General features: G+C 45.0%; 1 protein-coding gene across 1 annotated transcript in view; it reads right to left on the minus strand.

Annotated features, from left to right (window-relative positions):
- Window positions 1-21,739, minus strand: part of MYO5B (myosin VB) — a 372,359-nt gene that overhangs the window by 160,601 nt on the left and 190,019 nt on the right. Inside the window, exons 5-8 of the mRNA NM_001080467.3 lie at window positions 17,866-18,022; window positions 8,899-9,042; window positions 7,050-7,131; window positions 1,329-1,436 (exon numbers count right to left, since the gene is read on the minus strand). Of these exons, the coding sequence (NP_001073936.1) occupies window positions 1,329-1,436; window positions 7,050-7,131; window positions 8,899-9,042; window positions 17,866-18,022 (491 nt within the window). The remainder of the gene's footprint in view (window positions 1-1,328; window positions 1,437-7,049; window positions 7,132-8,898; window positions 9,043-17,865; window positions 18,023-21,739) is intronic.

The following is a 21,739-nucleotide window of genomic DNA, read 5'->3' on the forward strand; positions in this document are numbered from 1 at the left end:
AGCAGTTCTGGCCCCCTACACCTTGGGGCACCTGCAGCCTGCTTGTACAAAACAGCTCTGGCCTGCATCCTCTGGGCAAGTTTCTTCATCACATCCTCTTAGAAGTGAACTAAAGCTCAGCTAGGATGGAGGCCTCTCTTACCTTTATTGGCTGTTCTTCCCCCACCACCCCATCCCGGCCCCTGCCAGGAATAGCAGATGTTCTTTTGTACCTGCTACTTCTGGACCCTCTATAAAGTCCTCATTTATCCCTTTTGTAGTCAATCACCTGCTACTGCTGTAGTTAACAATTGTTTATATTAATTTTTCTATTTTGGAATAACCAGTGTGGTTTGTGTCTCCTGACTGATAGATAGGGTTTGTCTTTTGTACCCATGAACTATGTACCAGTTTCCCAGAGAACTGACTGGCTCTGGGAGCGTGGCAAATAAGGGTCTGGTTGCCTCCCCATAGAGAGGTTAAGGTGTGTCCCGTTTGACCATGTTTTATTTGGACATTGGCTACAACTTCCCTGACCTCCAAAGAACCTAACATGCTGCTCTGGGTTAGTCACATGGCTCAGAAGCCAAATGTTCTCTTTCAGAGAAGGGGCTGGGGAAGACACAAGCACCATCTTGCGCCACTTGGGGTTTCAGGCTGACTTCTCGAGCTTTCCTTTTTCTGGATGCAGGTCCCAGGAATTTAACACTTCAATTTCCCAACTGAGAAAGGCTTACCTTCTACTTTACCGCTTCTCCCCCAAAAGTGGCAGGGAAGCAGGGCAATTTCCTCCAGTCATACTGTCCCCTTATGCCCCTGAAGGACAGAGAACTTCTTGTTTGAAGGATTCCAACGCTAAAGCTCTATATGGAAACAGAGCTGACAGAATTAACGCTGTATGTGTGATGCAGCTGCCAGACCTTCACAGCCTGCTTCCAACTCTGATTTCATGCTGTGGTGCACAGGTGCACTGGGTGTGCGCAACATTGTGTTCTTCCTGCTAGAGCACACTTGAGCCCAGACCACAGCACGAGAAGACGTGGCTACACTTGCTTTGCCTCCGTTGGTTCCAACAGCCTGCACGAGTGGAAAGGGTCACTGCACAGTGCCTGGGAGAGGGACTCTCATAACCTTATTTTTTAAAAGGCAATGAAGCTCCAAATTTTAAGTTCTAGAGCCTGAGGGTTGGGATGGGTAAGAGAGTAAGAGATGACATTCACCAGGGGCAAGAGGGCATCTCCCATTAGCTCCTGCAGGTTGCTGGCAAGCACAGTGGGACATCGCCTTGCATTCTACCCTCCGTGCCATCAGCCCTCGGGGCCTGCTTCCCCAACTAAGAAGCTCCTTACCGAGGAGTGTGAAGGCTTGTCGAGTCTTCTCAAAGTCCTCAGCATCGTCCACACCCTCGATGGAAGTGTCTCCTCCCTGTGATGTATAGAAAAAGTCCTCTGCACTTGCTGTGGGAGGCGAGGAAATAAGGCATGAGGCACTGGAGGACACTTCATCCCACAGATCGTGACCCATGAAAATTCTACTCCGTTAGCATGCTATCCCAGACTAAATTTTAGGCCCAGCTGGATGTGAAACTCTTTAAAATAGTCTTTATCCACAACGGCAAATGGGAGAGAAAACTGAATAGTACAAGAAAATTATACGACACTGACAGAAATGTGCTGCTGTATTTATGTAAAACTGGCACGGGAAACATATGTTAACACAAAAGGCATATACGTCACAGACAATTCAGTTTAATAGGATTCATCACAGATTTGTTTTTGAAAAGATCTGATACAAGTAAAATGTATCCCCACCCTAGAACCAGACTTCTATGACTTACATAATCTCAGTCCGACAAGCTCATTTGACAAATGAGGAACAGTGATGTGCCCGAGGTGACAGTTTTTTTGTTCACTTGTTTTACAAAGTTGGGCACACCTGAACTCTCTGGGCACATGCACAAATGCAGGTTGATACCCTTACATGTTTGCTGTCATCCCCCAGCTTAATTCTTCTTCAGTCAGGCCTCTGGTAACAGCCTAGGGGACAGCTGGTAAGGAAGGGCCCAGGTGGTGTCTTAAAATTCAGAGCCAAGCTTAGAAGAGGACACAAATGCAACAAGCCCTGGGTAGTATCTGCCCTACAAAGAGGACGGCAGAATTAGTGCTTAGGAGGAAGCAGGGCTTAAAAGTGAGCATTTAAGGCAACAATTGCATGTAATCGAAGTTACCCTTAAAAACTGATTAAATCTTTCACAAAATATAGTATCTTGTATGGTGATCCTGCCTGGTACTATCCTGCCTGGCACTTCATGCTCTAAGTGTATAACGTTTGGTTTTGATAGAATGTCAAAAGGAGACACTGGCCAAGTTCCCTCTTCCCTGAAAACCCTAAGTTCTTTTCCCTGGACCTGAGCATGCAGGGCTGAAACACATCAGCTAAAGGTGCTTAGATGCAGCTTCACTGCAACTCCCAGTGCTCCTTCAACACCTGTCCTTGCAATTTGATCTCAAGAATTTCTGAAGTCTCTCTCCTTTCTCCATCCTGATTGCCATTGCCCTTCAGCTCCATTGTCAGAACTGTTGAAAAAGACACTATTCCAATCTCTCTGCTTCTGCACCCGTCCCTTCAAATCCACCTCGAAAATGCTAGTATGTCTGATCATACCACCCACTCTGCTTAAAAAGCCCTTTGAGAGGTCCCACTGCTCACAAAGCCAAGGTCAATACCCTAGAACAGCCCCTGGCCCTTTTGTGAAGTGGCCACCACATACCCTCCAGACTCATGGCTTATTCCTTCCCCATCTCTATGTTCCAGATACACCAGTTTCCTTATTATCATGCATCAGCTCTTCCCTCTGTCCACGCCTTCAGTGGTCTCTGCCTACCTCTCCTTCCTCACCTCCCCCCATTTCCCACCTTGCATCCTATGCTCCAAGCCATACTGAGCTTTGCCCATTCCTCCAAGTCTATTATGCATACATGGACAGGCCAGGCAAGGAGAGACAGAACTCAGCCCTAGACCCCAGTCTGACTACACAACCTGAACTATAACCACCAGGTGACCCTGCCCACAGGCACAAATAATGAGAACATCAGTTGTACTCTATGAGTGAAGGTTTCCTGGAGGAGTAACAAATTCTGAGGACCAGTGGCCAAGGCACTTGAACTGAGAGAGGAAGGACTCCAGCCCTGTGGTCACTCACAGCCTTGGCAGAAGCACATTTTAATGAGGAAAACCACATCAGATCTTTGTAGAAGACAGCATTTTAGCTCTTTCTTACCTAATCACTCAGCAAGCACCGGCACAGAGCAATACAACAGTTTCAAAGGCTTAATAAAAGTACCAATTTTTTTCCCTTTACACTCACCTTTCAAAGTATCTCATTTGATTATTTTTACAGTGTCCACCAAAGAAGACTGTCTATATTATTTACTCCCATTTTTCAGAAAAGCAAACTGAGTAACATGGGGTTTAAGGGGTGCCCAGGGTCACCCAGGGTTTGGTCAGGCCTGGGATTCCATTACTTGATTACCCTATTGTAGAAAAACGACAATTTATCTATGGCATCTCATGATTTTGCCACAAATACAAACTAACTCATCATCAAGTGTCAGCCAAACACATCAGAAAGAGTCACCTGAGACTCCAAAGGAGGAGACTAGACTTTCATATTAGAGGGAAGGCATTTTCAGCATCTTTCGAAGACCTTTCATTGTCAATAGCCAAGGTCCTACTGCCTGATGTTGCTACGAATCAGATAGACACCCCGCCTTCCGAGATCCCAGTTCCCAAACTCAGGCCCAGTTCCCCAACTCAGGCCCAGCTGGGCAACTTCCTCAGACTGAGGCTTGTCACTGCAGGGGCCACCTGGGTCAGTTACAGCATTTTCTACTGAATGATCTGAAACCAATCAAAATGATCATCTTTCCATATGCGTTAAGGTCTGCCATCAACTCCGTCATATCACTCTCTGGACCCTCTTAGTAAGGTACATCCAAATAGGACTCAGTCTTCCCCCACCTGCTTGGCTTTCCTGGATCGCAGCCCTCCTTTCAGGCCCATAAAGCTGAACACTGACTATCCCATCCCAAAGCAACTTCTCTCATCCTCCAGTTTAGGTCTCTCTCTTTACAAAGAATTCCCAAGGAGAAATGTACCACAAACCTCCTATTAACTAGTTCAACAGGCAGAGATTGGATCAGGCAGTCAAAAGAACACAGAGGAGAACATGAACCCAGTGATTAGAGCACCGGACCACCAAGGCCATGGTCATGGACTTGCACATCACCTGGGGAGGCTATGCTCTGACCTATGCAAGGCCAGAGAGGTTGTTTATAAAACTATCCATACAACCACGGAAATGAAAAAGAAGAAAAGGAATTTACTTCTTATCCCCTAAAGGCTGTATTTAAGGGAAAATGGGCCCATTACAACTGGATGTACCACCAGAGATTGGTGTATCTGGAAGGCAGAGATGGGGAGGAAATAAGCTGTGAGTGGAAGGTAGAGTGCAGCTACTTCACAAAAGGGCCAGGAGATTATTCTAGGGTATTGACCTTGGCCTGTATGGTTTTTACCATCATTTATTCACACCTTAACAAATTATTCATTGGACTTTAAAAAAAAAATCTCCTCTTGAGGTCATTTTAAATGCAATGGCCCAACAATGGGGCAGAAGAGTGTGGACAACTGGATGCAAATCTGCACCCTCCATTCTCAGACAAATGCACAAAACTTACGCCAAGCCAAGGGGTCTTGCAGAGACTTGTGTGCATTTGAATTGCGTGTTTTGGGTGAAGAGGAGGAAGAAGGATATGAAGCAGGTCCAAATATTCACTTAGAGCCCTTGGCTAGTCCATGTATTTGCTGTTTTCAGCTACTCGACTAGGGTTATTAGTGGACCTAAATGCCAAGCTTCAGGGCCCTCAGCCAATCCACCCATGAGGCCGAGGACAGCCTGACACCAGAGCACAAGCGCTTGTCAAAGGCTCTTGTTTCACTCCAAAATATTCTCAGAGGGCACATGAAGGTGAAAGAGTGGGAAAAAAATACTGATCAAATTGGGTAGTTTTCAAGTGCTGCAGCCTGGGGCCCATGTACCTTGCAGAGACAGGGAATAAGGGGAAATCATGTTTAACCTCAATATGACTCATGTAACTGAAAAAGAAATTTAGGAGGATTTCTTCCCCATTACCTTAGAATTACAACTGGGACAACTGATCCAAATCATCCAGATGGGTCTTGCCAATATTTGTTTATTTTCTATAAAACTGACCTGAGGGAAAAAAATTTCACCTCCTGCAAGTTGGCCCCGAAAAGCCCTGCTAGGCCTATGTTCTGCTCTGGGAAGGAAAGAGGAGGATGGCAGTGGCCCCTAATGTGGAGGCATACCTGGCTGCTTGAGAGTGACAGGCACCCTCAGAGCCACAGGCTCCAGCTCAGGACAGTGTGCAAAGAGTGCTCAGCCCCTGTTCTGCTTAGCAGGGAACACACACTCCTTGTCCTCAAGGATTTTATCATGTCATCGTGTTCCGGGGAAAATCAGACTTGCAAGCACTGACCAGCTGGAGAACAGGACATAACTAACAATGGACATCAGCCAGAGTTTTCTCCCTGGGGTCCCAATTTAAATATTACTTCCTGGGGGGAGCCTCCCAGCCCTCCTCAGCTCTGCTTCCTTCAGCACAGCCCTTAGCACTCTGCATCATAATTGACAAGCTAAGCAGGGTAGGACCCACAACTATTTTGCTCAATGCAGGATCCCTGGGGCCTAACATGGCCTGAATAGAGTTTGATGAACAAACGCAAGAATTATTGCTAAGTTGCATGGTACAAGCATTGAAGATACAGGGATTCATAAGCAAGTGTTATGAGGGCAGACTTGCGCTGAAACCACTTGATGGATTTCAGCTACTGGGAGCACAGATGGGTCTGGTGCTGGACTCTTAGGATGGCCAGGATTTGGATCAGGAACAGCCAAGCCTCAGATGTCTGTTTCTTGCACAGCTGCACAAAGACCAACTACTCTGTTTAGACACCCGGATCTTCATACCATCTGCTAGTATTGGACCTCCCCACATGCCCCCAAAACACGGACAGCAGGACAGGGACAGGAAGCATGGCAGGAAGTGTGGCAGACACCAAGACGCTGCTGGGCTCAAGGCTTGCCCTCTTTACACATATGTGCCTGAAGACTCAGCAGCAAAAATCAGTCATTACCCCATAAGGACCCACACAGAGAAGGGCCAAAGGCTCCAGACCCAAGGAGAGCTGCTCTGTGGTATGGAGTCAAGAACTAAAGCCTGCTCACTACTCCACTGGCTCCACATCAATAGCCTCAAAGCAAATGAAACTTGCTAACACCCCTCAGGAAGCAGCAGGAGTGGAAACAAAGGGTGGTGCTCATCTGATGGGGATGATGACAAAGTGCCTTATCCCCTCAGCTTTTGTGGAGAGGCAGTTTGGGTTGCTCCATCTCTCTCCCTCCAGTGAGGATGTGCTAGAAGCTTCCATGCCAGTCCACGAGAGATCAGATGGCCTGGCAGTCCAGAGTCTCACATGCCAGAGCCCCCTCTTATCCTCTGTGGCCATGCCATACTGCATCCATATGGCTCTAGAGCCACCCCTGCTTTATTCTCTGCTTTATCCTCACCCCTTTCTCTTTGCCTCAATCCTAAACTATGAGTTAAAACATGCTGGTTATGATTATATGATGTATATTACTTTTATCTCTAGATTCTTAGGTTTGGGACACATTTCCTATGATGCTTAAAGTGCAAACATATCTTTCAGAATAATAAAGCATGAAAAGACTTCCATGCCATGCAAAACACTTTTCCACCCCTGCCTCTTATCCTCTCATACACTTCCTGTGCCAGGTGGACTGCATACAATTAACCCTCTTTTACTAATTGAGCAGTGAAATTTAGAGAGGCCTAGGGGTTATGGCCACATAAGAGGCAGAGCCGAGACAAGAACCCATGACGGAGGGCTTTGAGCAGAGCCCCCAGCTGTGCACCCGCTGGAGCAGTAGCCCACCCCAGAGGATAGGCATGCACCTGTTGACTTACTTAGTGCAAGCTCTTTAAATTCTGGAAGACCGGCAGCAGCACAGAGCTGGTAAAAGATGTGGTAATTCCTCTCATCATCTGCCTGGAGGAGGAAGAAGTGAAGCAGTTTTAGGGCAGTGACCTCTAACATCGTTCCCTCTGCCACTGTAATCCCAGGGTGCTCCAGGTGGTGGAGGCTGAGCCCCCCACTCTTCCCAGTGTTTTCCTCCACACCTCTGCCACCTTCAATTCCCACTTTCCGACTTTCTATTCACTCTTATGGGGACTTCTTCCAACCTGAGGATTTATATGTCTTGAATTATGCAAAAGCATGTATGTATTTTCTTTTTTCCTTCTATATAGGACATCATTGCTCTTCACAAATGGTGAGTCAGTCAATCAACAAATACTTATTCAGTCTTCTGTGCTGCTTGGCTGATGTCCCATGGATTGTCAGTACCCTTCTGTGAGCTCCCGTTCTCCTCTGGGAGGCTCAGAGATAAGTGGAAGCTGTGCTTGCCCATCAGGTCAGGCTGGGCAGACAGGAAAGGCCCACAAGTGAGGCAGGATGTCTGGGGAACACCTGCAGCTGGACTGGCCTTACACCGGTGGGGTGGGTGTGGGGGTGGGGATTCAGGAGGCCTGAGCGAAGAGAGCTAAGGAAGAGGGAAGCTCCAGGGGTGTCCAGGAAAGAGCCATGAGCAAGACATCAGACCCACACCCAACCCAGCAAGCTGCTTCCCTGGCTGTGGTGTAAAGCAGGATGGGGGGATTATCAAGCCAACCTGTGAGGTGCATATAAAATGCAGGCAAAAGCATGGGGAGCTGGTTAAAAAATTCATTAGATGTTTGCTATCATCAGCATGGAGATGTCACCAAGAAACAAACAGCTGAGGCAATTCTGAGGTCTCCTTAAAGGCAGCTAAAGCTCAATGACCAGGAAGCCATTTAACCCAAGGCAAGAATCTGCCACAGACTCAAACCAGGACCTGAACCATCATCTTGGTTCAGTGATGGGAGGGTAAAGGGAGCTGGAGGAGGACTTCTATCGGCGTTGTGAGTTGCACCAAGCCCACTAAAGTCAGGATGGAGGAGGAGAAGGATTACAAAGAGGCAAAGAGTAGCTGGCAGGAGGAAACTAAAGGTAAGCGAAGAACAGTGAAGAATCAAGTCAGGTGAAAAGTGGGACATCTGGGAATTGAACAATGAGAACACATGGACACAGGGAGGGGAACATCAAACACCGGGGCCTGTCAGTGGGTGGAAGGCTAGGGGAGGGATAGCATTAGGAGAAATACCTAATGTAGATGATGAGGTGATGGGTGCAGCAAACCACCATGGCATGTGTATACCTATGTAACAAACCTGCACGTTCTGTACATGTATCCCAGAACTTAAAGTATAATTTTTTTTAAAAAATGGGACATCCACTTATTTGAAAAGAAAACTAAGTAGGTAGCCAAGTATAATCTATTTTTTAAACCTACTAAATAAGGAAGTTCTCAGGAAACCTAAAACCCAGACTCCGTATTTATGACATTCCCCTGATAAGACTTTAAAATCCATAAGGAAAAGTTCTGTCTTGTCCTTTACTGTATCTTTGGTGCCTAGGACAGAGCTAACACATAAGAGGCATTCAACGTTTGTTGATTGAATCTGAAAACAGTACTGTATAAAGGTTTTTGAGATCTAATCCCTATACCATCTGAATGAACACTTACTGATAAAAGATAAGAACCAAAAGAACAACTACATTCAATTCCAGGCTCACAAGAGAGATTCTCTTTGGGTCCAGGGAGTGGGGCAGGGAGCAGAAGTAAGGTAATTGTCCATGAGAAATACACAAAAGGGCGCAAATCCTCCCACTCACCTGGAAGACCACTCTGGACTTCTCCAAGAGGTAAGTCCTCATGTTGGCCCCGATGATGTGGTACCTTTTGTCAAAGCCAATCTGGATGTACTTGCCAAAACGGCTGCTGTTGTCATTGCGGGTGGTCTTGGCATTTCCAATGGCCTGCACAGACCAGACAGACAAAGGTATGAAAAAAAAAGAGGGCTTTCTTGATTTCAGGATTGTATGTTTGTGGCAGCATGTGTCCCCTTTCTCTTCCTTACTTACAGAAACCCTCTGTTCTTGGGATGACAATGAACTGAGCTAAAGAATAAAACAAAAACTTGAAACTCTTCTTTTTCCAGCCTCTTACTCCTGAGGATGGCCAATGAGAGTAACGAGTTCATTGGTGGGGTCTTCAAAGGGGACTACCCAGGTGCAATGGAAGGTGCATCCCACTGTCCCTCTTCTTCCTTCTTTCTTGCCTGGAATGCACCTGTGATGGTACCAGCTATAGCAGTTATCTTGGAACCATGAGGAAAAGGCCTAAAGAATCACAGAGACCTTAGCTGTGACATTCTTGAGCCACTAAAACAATACCAGTGCCCACTAGCTCTGAACTTTCTGGAAAAAAACAAACAAACCTTCCTGTACTTAATACACTTTGATCAGTTCTACATGAGCAGGCAGTCAAATGTCACTCCCAACTGACAAATAATACCTTCCTAGCAATACGCCACAAATTGACACTCCTTCCCACCTCAGGAAGCCATCATCCCTCTTGGTATTTCTTCTGCAGCATCAGGGTTACAGTTCAAAACACTAGACGATAATTTTTAAAATGAGTGGATATGGGACTAATTTTATCGTGTGAAGATTTGCTTCCTATAAAACACCATGTTGCCAATGCATTGGTAAAGAATACATTAATATTTAATCCCTTTCACATGCTTACATTTTTAGGTGGATAAAACACTTGAAAAACACCTGCTATAACTTCTCAATGGTCTAGAAAATTTGAGGCACAAAGAAGTTGAAAGAAAAGCCAAAATCCCAACCTACCCCTCAAGTCCTGCCCAGCCCAATACAAGCAGAAGAACTATTAGTGTCGCCTGACATCCCAAAACCACGATGCCCGGCAGCCATCTATTATTGACAAGGCTGGCAGAATAGTGAGAAGCAAAAGGTCACAAAGTTGACCTAAAACTAATGCTCCTGAAAACATGCCATTGAGTTGTTACTGAACAACTGTTCCTGTTACTGAGATGAGTACAGGGAGGCGCTGAGTTATACAACCACCCACTCACAGAAATCTAGGTCCAGCTCTGCACCAGGGAAGCTGCTGAGCCCAGGACTGGCCTCCATTCACCACCCTCCGAGTATAGAGGATGCCAAGTTCCAAACGGGTCAAACTGTCCCTATTTCTATCCTACTGCCATAGCCTTAGCCTGCAACATTGTCACCTCTTTCCTGAACAACTTCAATGGGCTCTCAATGGTCTCCCTGGTCCCACTCCCATCTTCCACCTGCTGTCAATTCTCCACTCAATTGCCAGGGTGATTCCTCTAGAATGTAAACCTATTATACTCCCTGTATAAAACGCTTCAGTGGCTTACACTGCCCTCTGAGATACAACTTTCAAATCCTTAGCATGGCTTATGTGCTTGGCAGGAACCGACCCTTCCCTGCCTCTAATCTTGCCCTTGGTCCCGGCTTCTAACAATCCTAACTCCCTTTTTCTTTCTCCAAAGCCCTATGCTCTCTCTGCCCTCACCCAAGCTTCCCATAGGCAGTTCCCTCTTTTCCCACGGCTCTCTGCACCTAGTCGACTCATCTTCCTTCAGGTCTCAGCATCGATGTCGCTTCTTCAGGCAAGCAAGCCTTCCCTGATCCCGAGACTAGGGGAGCACCTCCTGCCATATGCTCTTCCAGGCCCTACATTTCCCTCTTCTTCCCCTTAGCCCATATGCGGTTAACCCTCTGTGTTCATGAGGGCAAAGATTATACATCTGCTTCAGCACAGACTCTGTAGCACCCAGTACATGGTAAGCACTCAAAAATATTTAAGTGAAAGAGTAAATGAACCTGGGTTTCAGTTTTTCTCTTGTGAAATGTAAGTATTGGACTCCTTGTCCTCATACGTAACTTGCCACTGCAAAGTCTTGCAAAAACCAGTTGGAGTCACAATATACACTTTTACTTTAGGGTTTAAAGTGTATAAAGCAATCTATATGTTACAGACACAGTATATAACTCTGGAAGGAAGTGTAGGGGGAGAAAGTACAACCTTGGTATGTTGGATTGCTCTGAAGGGCATCTTGGTGCTTGGAACATGCCCAAGGTCAGGACAAGGCTAGAGCCCGGCCAGCCTGATGTAACTCTCAGTCACCTAACTGGAAGAGTTTACGTAATCAGCTTCCTCCAACCAAAGGCGATGGGGACTCACGCTCCTGGCACCCACCAACCTTGTCATCTTAGCAGAGGCCTCAGTGTAACCACTTTCCTTCCACAAAGAGTCTCAGCCTTTAAGGCCCCACAGGATGATGGCAGACTGCCAGACTTCAGTGAGCCAATTTCTACTTGAAAAATGGAAAAGGAGGCTATATTTCCTAAAATGTTGGTAGAAAGCATTTCCCGGACCTTCAACATAAGCCAGGTCCTGGGCTGGGCCCCTTATAATCTCATTTAATGCTGCCAAGAACCCTACAAGATAGGCATTACTAACTTTCACCATACTTACGGGAAAACTTAGGCTTAGAAAGGTCAAGTCACGTGCTTGAGGTCACATGCTAGGAAGTGGCAACCCCAAGATAGAAATTCAGATATACCTGAATCCAAAGTCTGCGTTCATTCTACCTACACGGCGTCACAGCACTCCTCCATACTCTGTCTCCTCCAAACCACTCACTACCAGACAGAAAGCCACCACACATGTGGGCAACTTCTCATGGCTCAAATGGCCAAATCAAGTCAAAGGATAAAGATAGATATTAATCCTCACTTATATCCTTTTTTTTTTTTTTTGAGATGGAGTCTCGCTCAGTCTCCCAGGCTAGAGTGCAATGGTGTGATCTCGGCTCACTGCAAGCTCTGTCTCCCAGGTTCACGCCATTCTCCTGCCTCAGCCTCCCAAGTAGCTGGAACTACAGGCGCCCACCACCAGGCCTGGATAATTTTTTTTGTATTTTTTTTTGTAGAGACAGGGTTTCACCGTGTTAGCCAGGATGGTCTCGATCTCCTGACCTCGTGACCCACCCATCTCGGGCTCCCAAAGTGCTGGGATTACATCCTCACTTATATCTTTTTATGTAAAAGCAGGGAGAAGCCTCTCAGAAGATGCTAGAAAACCAACTAATTACTATGAAACCTAGTAAATAAAGCCTTAAACATCTACTTTCCAGTGTAAACTGTATCTCAGGGCAATTAAGTAGTTGGTAAGGGGACGTTTCTCTGCACAGATTTATTCCAGCTAATACATGCAGGAGGTGTAACAGAATGACAATATCAGCATTTTGTAACTGCTGATTAATTAATATATCTAGGCATAATCAACTGCTGGCTCACATCACAAAAAGCCAGATTTTCTGTGCCTCCTAATGGAGGCCCAACTACCACATCTTAAGGATTCCTGTTAAAAACAAAACAAAACAGAAACTAAAGCAGCCTCTAAATTTTACTATTCCTTTACAGGAAATAAAGTGGACAAAGGCACATGTTAAACAATGTCATACAGATGTAATCAGCAAAGGCCAGTTGGTGGAAAATTCTAAAGGAGAAGCTCGTTTCAACAGATAAGTTTCAATTTCAAACTTTTAATTTCCAATTTCTTACTTTCTAAGATAGCAATAAGACCTTTTACCATATCTGAGATCATTCCTTGTGATAGCTTAGGAAAACTTTGCCCAAGGTCTAAAGATCACTGCCAAAAGATTGGCCCTCCTTACTTTACTAGGCTACTTTGCAAAGTGATTGATAGATCTAAAAGTACTGGAACAACCATTCTGAAGGAAAATCGGGTATATCTAGTAAAACTGAACATGCATGCACCTAACAAATCAGCAATTCTACTTCTAGGTGTTACTTAGAGAAATTCTCACATAATTCAAGTAGGCAAGAATGTTCCATTCAGACTATATTTAATAATAAAAAAGAAATACAACCCAGATGTTCACCAGTAGGGAAAACATAAATAAAATGTGGTATATCCACACAATCAGATGCTATAAAGCTGTTAAAAGAATAAACTAGAACACAGCTCATGGATTAATAAAAAAATGTAGAGTGAAAAGTTGCAAACTGGTTGATGGAATATGCTACCAACTACTTATGGTATAACAATCTTTTCGATGCATACAGAAATACACGGTGAAATAAAAATGGACTGAAATAATTTCAATGTAATTGATTGTACAATAAAGAGGTATGTATCAAGTAGTATGAAAACACGGATAAGGAGCAAAACCAACCATGCCCCAGTATGGGAAAAGCTCTAAGAAGTGGAAAATTGAAGTGGATCTTAAAGTGAGCAGAATTCTGACAGTGGGAAAGAAGAAGAGATTCTATAAATATAGTGTGGACAAAGGGACGGGGTTATGTTACAAAATAAACAAGTTTGAAGTGGCTAAAGTATGTTGATACATGAAAGAAAACAGGAGATAAGATTGGTAAGGTGTACTGGGAGCAGATTCTTGTAAAAATGGGTTAACAGTGTCTGGCTTTCTTCTTTGCCCTAAAAAGCGTGAACACTTAGCCAGGCACTGGTAAGCCAGCACTTAGAAAGGCCTAGGTGGGTGGATCACTTGAGCCCAGGAGTTTGAGACTAGCCTGGGCAATGTGGCAAGACCCTGTCTCTACTGAAAAATACAAAAGGTAGCTGGTCATGGTGGTGCACGTCTAGTAGTCCCAGCTACTCTGAAGGCTGAGGTAGGAGAATCGCTGGAGCCCAGGAGGAAGAGACTGCAGTGATCGTGTTCATGCCATTGCACTTCCGCCTGGGTGACAAAGCAAGGTCCTGTCTTTAAAAAAAAAAAAAAAAAAAAAAAAAAAAAAGCAAATCCTGAAAATAACATATCTGGTCTTCATCATCATTTTTGCTAGCTTCACTCTAGCCTCCTTTCTTTCTTTTTTTTTTTTTTTTTTTTTTTTTGAGATGGAGTTTCCCTCTTGTTGCCCAGGCTGGAGTGCAATGGCATGATCTCGTCTCCTTTCTTTCTCCCAGAATAGGGGCATTCTCTGTGGCTCTCAGAGTTGTCTGCCTGCAAAGTCCAGTCACCCCAAGAAATGATGTGATATCTCTGGCCTAAACTTGGGTTCTGTTCCTCCTCTAACAGTCTCTTGATTATCAATGTTCTTTTAATCAGTGCAGACTTGTGAACAAATCACTCCTGGGATGCTGACAAGCTCTTAAACAGAACAGGGTCAGAGAGTGCTGGTGATGACAATAAATCATCCCAGTGCACCCCAGCCAATCTCAATCCATCCTCAAGTCGCCTTTAATTCCAACAACTGCCACTTAGCATAGACCACTGGGATTTCCGCCTCCTCAGACCTTCAACTCTAGGTCTCCCCAGGAGGTGTCTGCAGCTGCTGGGCAGCAGACGCAATGAGACAACGCCGTGACCATAACCGATTGCTTTGTTGGGAGGTGCCATCCTTCCCTAGGATGGGGCAGAGCAATCAATCAGTAATCAGCTGTCTGTCCCCTGATTAAGACATGCTCTGTGCTGGTTATAACACTCTGAGCAGCCACAAAACTGACTGGGCTTCCTGATACAAGGTCCCAGATAGAGTCGACTTACGAAAAGTCGTGTTTTCAGACTTGGGAAGTGCAAAAGCCTCTTTCTCTGCTTGGCAACAAAAGCCTCTTTCTAATTCTACTCAGGGTTCTTCCTGGCTATAATTCTTCCTTTCCATGTTCATAGCCAAGACTTCTCTCAAACATAACACTTAATGACAGCTCAAGGGACAGTCTCTGGGATGACAAAATGCTCCATTTGACAGAAGAAACCCTCAGGACTTACATAATTTCCAAAGTACTAATTTGCACAAGGCAGAAAATTAATGTTTTGAGCTCAAACCACTGTAGCATTTATTTACATGACCATGTAAGATTAAGCTGGTTCATGTACACACTCCTCCTTCAGACCTTAGCAACTGAAGCACGTTGAGCATATGTCTGTGTGTGCATGTTGCTTTTCATCTCTGCCATGTCAAAGCACCCTGCGTTCCCACAGCCTAGCGGCCTACTCAGGCTATAATGGATATTCCAAATGTTAGATAAGGTCAGACCACTGTGATTTAAAAAGCATTTCCAAAGCAAGAATTCAAACAGATACTTTCACACCCACATTCACAGCAGCACTATGCACAATACCCAAAAGGTAGAAGAATAAACAAAATGTGGTATGACCATGCAATGAAATACTGTTCAATCATGAAAAGGAGCAAAATATTAATATATGCCAAAACATGATTGAACTTTGACAACATTATGCTCAGTGAAATAAGCCAGACACAAAAGGACTAGTATATGATTCCACTTGTGTGGGGGTACCTAGAATAGGCAAATTCAGAGAGATTACCAGGGGCTGGAGGAAGGGAGAATGGAGAGTTACTGTTTAATGGGTAAATAATTTCTGTTTGGGATGATGAAAAAATTCTGGAAATAGATGGCAGTGATGGATGTACAAACATCGTGAATGTACCAAATGCCACTAAACTGTACACTTAAAATGGTTAAAATGGTAAACTTTATGCTATGTGTATTTTATGATAAAATTGTAAAAAATTTCCCCATGTCTCACACATGTTTACTAATGTGGTGATCTGCCTTCACTAAACTTCCAGCATGACTAATAATAACTACTTTGTTCAGTCTCTGGAGCTCAAAGAGGTTTCTTGTCTTTCGTTTTGCTCAGAATAACTACTCTATTTCTAAAAGAAGTAGTACACTATGTCTCTGATATCTTACTGCCTAAAAGATGGACAGAATCTTGAAACTCAGTCAAAGGAGAGAGCCTGCTTTCACTCTCATTTGAGGTAGAACATGAGGTTAATTGTGGAGCGGCTGTCTTAGCTGTTCAATATAGGCATAGTACATGGTCTAAGGAGGCCAAGGCCACAGTCCACAAACGGCTTCCGACCTGGGCCGTGGCCATGCCTCAGTTCGGGGCTCAGACTAAATGCTGGAGTAAATATGCTACCAATGAAATGTCAGAAAAGAAGGAGTCAAATTATGGTAAAGCCATTTATTAATCTATGTTTGCAGCCAATAAGATAGTTCATAAAAAGTTGAATGATATGGGGACAAGGCTTATGCTGTAATAGTTAGTAAAAAAGCTGGAAGAAAATATACCAAAATGTTGGATGATTATCAGCAGGCTGTAGTATTAAAGGGGATTATTTCCTTTCATTCTTTCACATTTTCCAGTGAGCCCATCCTATCTTTTTAATAGGTCAGTGGTTCTCCAAGTGTGGTACCCAGACGGGCAACACCAGCATCACCTAGGAACTTGCGAGAAATGCAAATTTGGGGGGCCCCTCCCAGACCCCTTCTGAATGAGAAACTCTGGAGTGGAGTAGAGCAATCTGTGCTTTAACAAGCCTTACAGGCAATTCTCAGGCACCCTCAAATTTGAGAAGCACTGTAATGGAATAAAAGTTTTTCTTTTTGTCTGTTTAGTACAAATGCCTTCAACTGTATTCACCATTTCCCAAATCTTGTAAGAACAAATACTGAAACTTGCTTTTCAAAAATTCATAGTGAACACGTTGTATCCTGTTACTTAGCAGAGAATTAAAGTCCTCAAAGTAACGCAACTCTGAAGGCAGGAGATTTTGCCTGGATAATCAATGAACCCCTGTGAATCAAGACTCAATTTATGCCTGCACTTGGTAAAGGAAGAGAGAAAGAGGGGACTGGGGAAAGTCCAGGCAGGTTCTTGTTTCCCTAAGCTCCAAAATCATCTGAAAGACCAAACTCCATGGTGACTTGTGCCTTAGTCGATGGGGCTCAGGGCTCCGCATGGAAACCTGATGCTATCTTGGCAGCTTGCGGCTCAACTAATGTCTTCTTACTATTGTAGGTGTGATGATAGAAGGGAACTGTCCAATTAGAGATGGACTAGATGACATAAAACAAACGGACTGCCCAGGGCTGGCAGAAAGGCCTGCTCCTACCAACTGTAACCAAGACAACAACAAAGAGCTTTAGCTTCAAAGGTGGGGAATGAAAGCTGTCCCAGGGACTACGAGGCCATTTCATTCTAATCCATCAAAATGAAGGTTTCATACAGAAAAGGGGGAAAAAGAGACAGCATTCTGATCCTAAAGCATGCTTAGTTATAGCAAGATCTAGTTTTTAGCAAACTTCTCTGGCCTGTAGTTGTGTCAACTGCTCTGAGCCCACCCTAGTCCAGCCCCTATCATGAAGGCTGAGGAGTGAAGACACAGATGGGGCCTGCCCTGGCCAATTCACGCCATCATAGGGAACTGTTTTCTGAGGAGCTTCAACAGATTCTAGGTTATCACATACCTTTTGGCTTTACCTCCCCGCTAAAAAGATAAGATGCCCAAATACTGTGGGTTAAAAAATATTCTATCTAGGCTTTCCCGTCCCCCATGAAAATTGCCTTTCTGACCCAGCAGGCCCTCAAAGCTTCTAAGAGTTTCGGTGGAACACTGATTTCTGACACGTGATGTCAGCAGGGAAGGGGACAGCAACAGAGGTGGAGGAGGTGGGGAGGGACAGTCACTGTCACTACAGCATTCAGCAGAGTCAAGGGACATGGAGAATATGAGGACACTCTACCCAGTACTGGGAACCTAAAGACACAACCAGGTCAACATCCATGGTTTTAGAGGCAGCTTGGTAACTTTTCCTCCACAGTGGACAGAGGGCTCTCAGGGAGAGGCGTGAAGGCTGCCACCCAGGCTTGACGCCCAGCAGTCTTGCTGCCAGTGGGAGGAGCTCCAGCCAGGAAGGCCAGGACACCTAGAAGGCTTTACCTCCATGATGGGACTGGATGCCAGCACCTTCTCTTCGATGTTGGTTTCACTGGCCGAGCCACCAACGGTGGCGAAATAGCGCATGGCATACTTGGCTGATACCGTCTTCCCGGCTCCAGACTCCCCACTGACTATGATGGACTGATTCTTCTCATCTCTGGAAGGAAAAAAGCTCTGATAAGTCATTGGCCATGGAAAGGCTCTGCTACCGTCCAGGGACTCTGTCTGACAAGGGCCTGAGCCTCACTGGGAGCATCTCTCCTACTTTAATGGATAAACGCAGAGGAACAGTGTAAAAATAGTCTGCCCTCCCCGACACCTGCAAACATCCTGAAAGCAGGAGGAAGAAAGCAATTCTAACAGGGCACATACTTTCATTTATGGCCTAGAGCGAGAGTGGTGCAGACAACTGGCCACTCTCCCGAGTTCCCACTGGGTGCAGTGCCCCTAGATCACTCCCTTACACACATCCTTTAAGAATTCACAAGCACACACAGACCAGGCGTGGTGGCTCATGCCTGTAATCCCAGCACTCTGGGAGGCCGAGGTGGTGAGTCATGAGGTCAGGAGTTCGAGGCCATCCTGGCTAACATGGTGAAACCCTGTCTCTACTAAAAAACAATACAAAAAAATTAGCTGGGTATGGTGGCACACGCCTGTAGTCCCAGCTACTTGGGAGGCTGAGGCAGAAGGATCGCTTGAACCGAGGAGGCAGAGGTTGCAGTGAGCCGAGATCGTGCCACTGCACTCCAGCGTGGGCAACAGAGCAAAACTCCGTCTCAAAAAAAAAAAAAAAAAATTCACAAGCACACACTTTCAGTTATATCATCTCCCCTTTGTTTCCCTAACATTCCCATCTTGTGTCACTGTATACATTACAATTTCTTCAAAAACATGGATCTTTTCTTCTCCTCCTGCATTTGAGCCTAGCATGCCAGCAGATACAGTTTTGAACATTTTTTTTCATATAGGTAGGTCACAAAGGGCATGCTATTAGCCACCAAAATAATCTTGCCTCAAGTTTCTCAGAACTTTGATAAAACTATCAATTTCAATAAGTGGGATCTGAGTCAGACAGAACAGAGGGCAGGAAGAAGATACTCTACATCAGATAGAAACACCTCTGTAGTTATCCCTTTAAAACACGTAGTAGGAAGACAGACAAGCAACGGAAAGAACAGCTCAGTGGGTCTCCAAGGAACATGGATGTCCCTAGCAAGCCATAGAAGCTGGTGGAAGGAGGGCCACGCTGGTGCCAAGAGACTCAGGTTCTAAACCTGTCTTCATTTGGAAAAGAAGGGGGTTAGATTAGATGGATGTTCAAAGCAGGGAGTGAGGACAAACGTTTGGATCGCAGTTTCGGGAAACGGTTTGTAAGTGCTGTATTCCACCACCTACCTCCCATTCACAAACCCACTGTCAAGAGGGCAGGCACTCTGCTTTCACTCCCCAGTGTCTGTAACTGTGCCTGGCACAAAGTACAAACTCAATATATATCACTAAACTGGAAGCAACTTAGCTCTCAACTAATCTAACTCCCTTCTTTTCCATATGAGGACAGGTTTAGAACTTGGGTCCCCTGTCACCAGCCTGGCCCTCTTTACACCAGCTCCCATTGCTTCCTAGGGCAGAGTGGGTTAGAAAAGAACAGAGAAGCACCACAGGGGTTTGCCCTGCCTTGCTAACTGTCAACATGAGTAGGCCATAGCTTATCAGCACAGGGGAATGAATGTCAGCCTCTCTTCTGATCAAGGCTAACAGCTGGAAACATGGTGAGATGATACAAGGGAATGGTCCAATTAGAGACGGCCTAGACAGAAAAGAAGCAGGCTGGAGGTGGGAGCCGAAGGCAGAGTCATGAGGTAGCTGAGATGAAAAAATCCTTCACTATGAGCTGCTCTTCAAGGTCAGCAAGAAGTGTCCCAGCTCACACAAACGGTTAGCAATGGGGATGGACCTGAGTGGATGTGGGTGGCTAGTAGGCATTGTTGAGAAGACAAAACCGAAAAAAATGTATATTTCAAATTTGATACACAACCAACTACTTGAAAATGTATGTTGAATCCTACCCAGTATTTGGGGGATAGAATTACCAGTGTCTCTCTGAGATCCCTTGTAGTTCTAAGACATCATTGTAGTCAGAGCATCTGCTTCTCTCTCCTTGCTGCTGTGAAATCTCAACATTGAAAGGTAGCCTCTAAAGCAGCCTGGGGATGTTTGTATCGCCTCTTCTCATTTAATTTTATAACATATCCCTAAACCTAGAGGATAATGACAGGTGTCACCTCTAATCCTAATATCTTCATTATCAAGTCCTTAGAGAACTGCTCAGAGCACAACCATCCCAGGCAACTAAGAACATCACAAGTTTGGCGTTGTACCTCTGAAACAGACAAGTTTGATACCATCTTTAAAACTTCCTGGGTATCTGCAATAAGGAGAACTAGATTATAGCAGCGACACCCAAAAGTATAGAGTTATGTCCCAAATTTGTGTGTTCAGCCCCAGATAAATGGATAAGTTTAGAATGTATCTAAGCCTTGATCCTCATCAAAGAACCAGTTAGAATGCAGAAGTATATACTATCCCAAGTACTTAATAAGGATCCAGGGGAAGCAACACACAGATGTCAGGAGGAAATGAATCCCATCAGTGGAGGAGGGGAGATGGGTAAGTGCTGCCAGGCTCCTGCGTCAACACAGCACACACAGGATGCTGGACTACAAGGAGACCCAGTTGACAGGTTACACTCGGCAAAGACAGATGAGGCACACACCAGCGATGCTTGTCACTGTTCACCTACGGCATCAATAAGGGAATTCCCCTGCATATCACTGGGGAGTGACTGGAAAGTCATGCCCTTTTCAGGAAAGAGAGCAACTCATACAAGATGTGGAGAAAAAGTGGGCTCTTCTGAGGAGGTAAGTGGCCAGGAATCAAAAAGGGGGCTAGGTCACGTGACAAGTGTCAAGAATTCAAAAAGAAGGAATCAAGGCAACGGAACAGTAAAACTGGCAGGATGCAAAAGGCAAATTTTGGTGTTCTGATAAAAGTGGACATACATGGCTAAGAAATTATCAAGAGTTATAAAAAGAAAAAACCACAAGTTTAAAAAATCTTTACACTTGAGGCTCTTTTGGGGAACAAGTCTTGGAAATCACCAGTAGTGCTAATTCTGCCTAACTTCACGGATGTTAGATCTGATGCTGATATGTAGGCTAAAGTCAGATAAATTCACTTCTTAGACCAACAAGCACCATTCAACAGCTTCCCTAATTCAGAGGTAAAATGTCTGGAAAAACTGATGATTTTTACTTAGCTTTATTGCACTTCTTTTGCACATACTAGGCACTTCCCTCCCTAGCCTAGGGTAGGGCTGGGCATGTGCCTGTAGTCCCAGGTACTCAGGAGGCTGAGGCAGGAGGATCATGAGAGCCCATGAGTCCAAAGGCTATGATAAGCTCTGATCACACCACTGGGCAACAGAGCAAGATCTCAACTCTTAAAAAAAATAGAGGTGGGGTAGGTGCACATTAGGCATATACACACTATTCTGTAACAGCCTACAAAGTGCAGCGTGCAGCAGCTCTCCCACTGTGTTCTGTGTACATATCCACTTTCCTGGAGCTGGAATCCCAGAAATGGACATTAAAGACAGACTTGAATTTGAACCTCGGCCGCACCACTGATTAGCTGTCTGACTTTGGACAAAGTAGTTAACTTATTTGACCTTCAGATCATCTCAGTTCAGTCTGTTAGAACTCTGATCCCTGAAGCCCAAGCTCTTCTAAGTAGTCACCATGATTAAGATACCTAGGTCTCTAATTCATTTTAATACTCCAGCCAGATTAAATTGCTAAAGCACAGTCCTAAT

This window comes from Homo sapiens, chromosome 18, assembly GCF_000001405.40.
Source record: "Homo sapiens chromosome 18, GRCh38.p14 Primary Assembly".
Classification (NCBI taxonomy): Eukaryota; Metazoa; Chordata; class Mammalia; order Primates; family Hominidae; genus Homo; species Homo sapiens.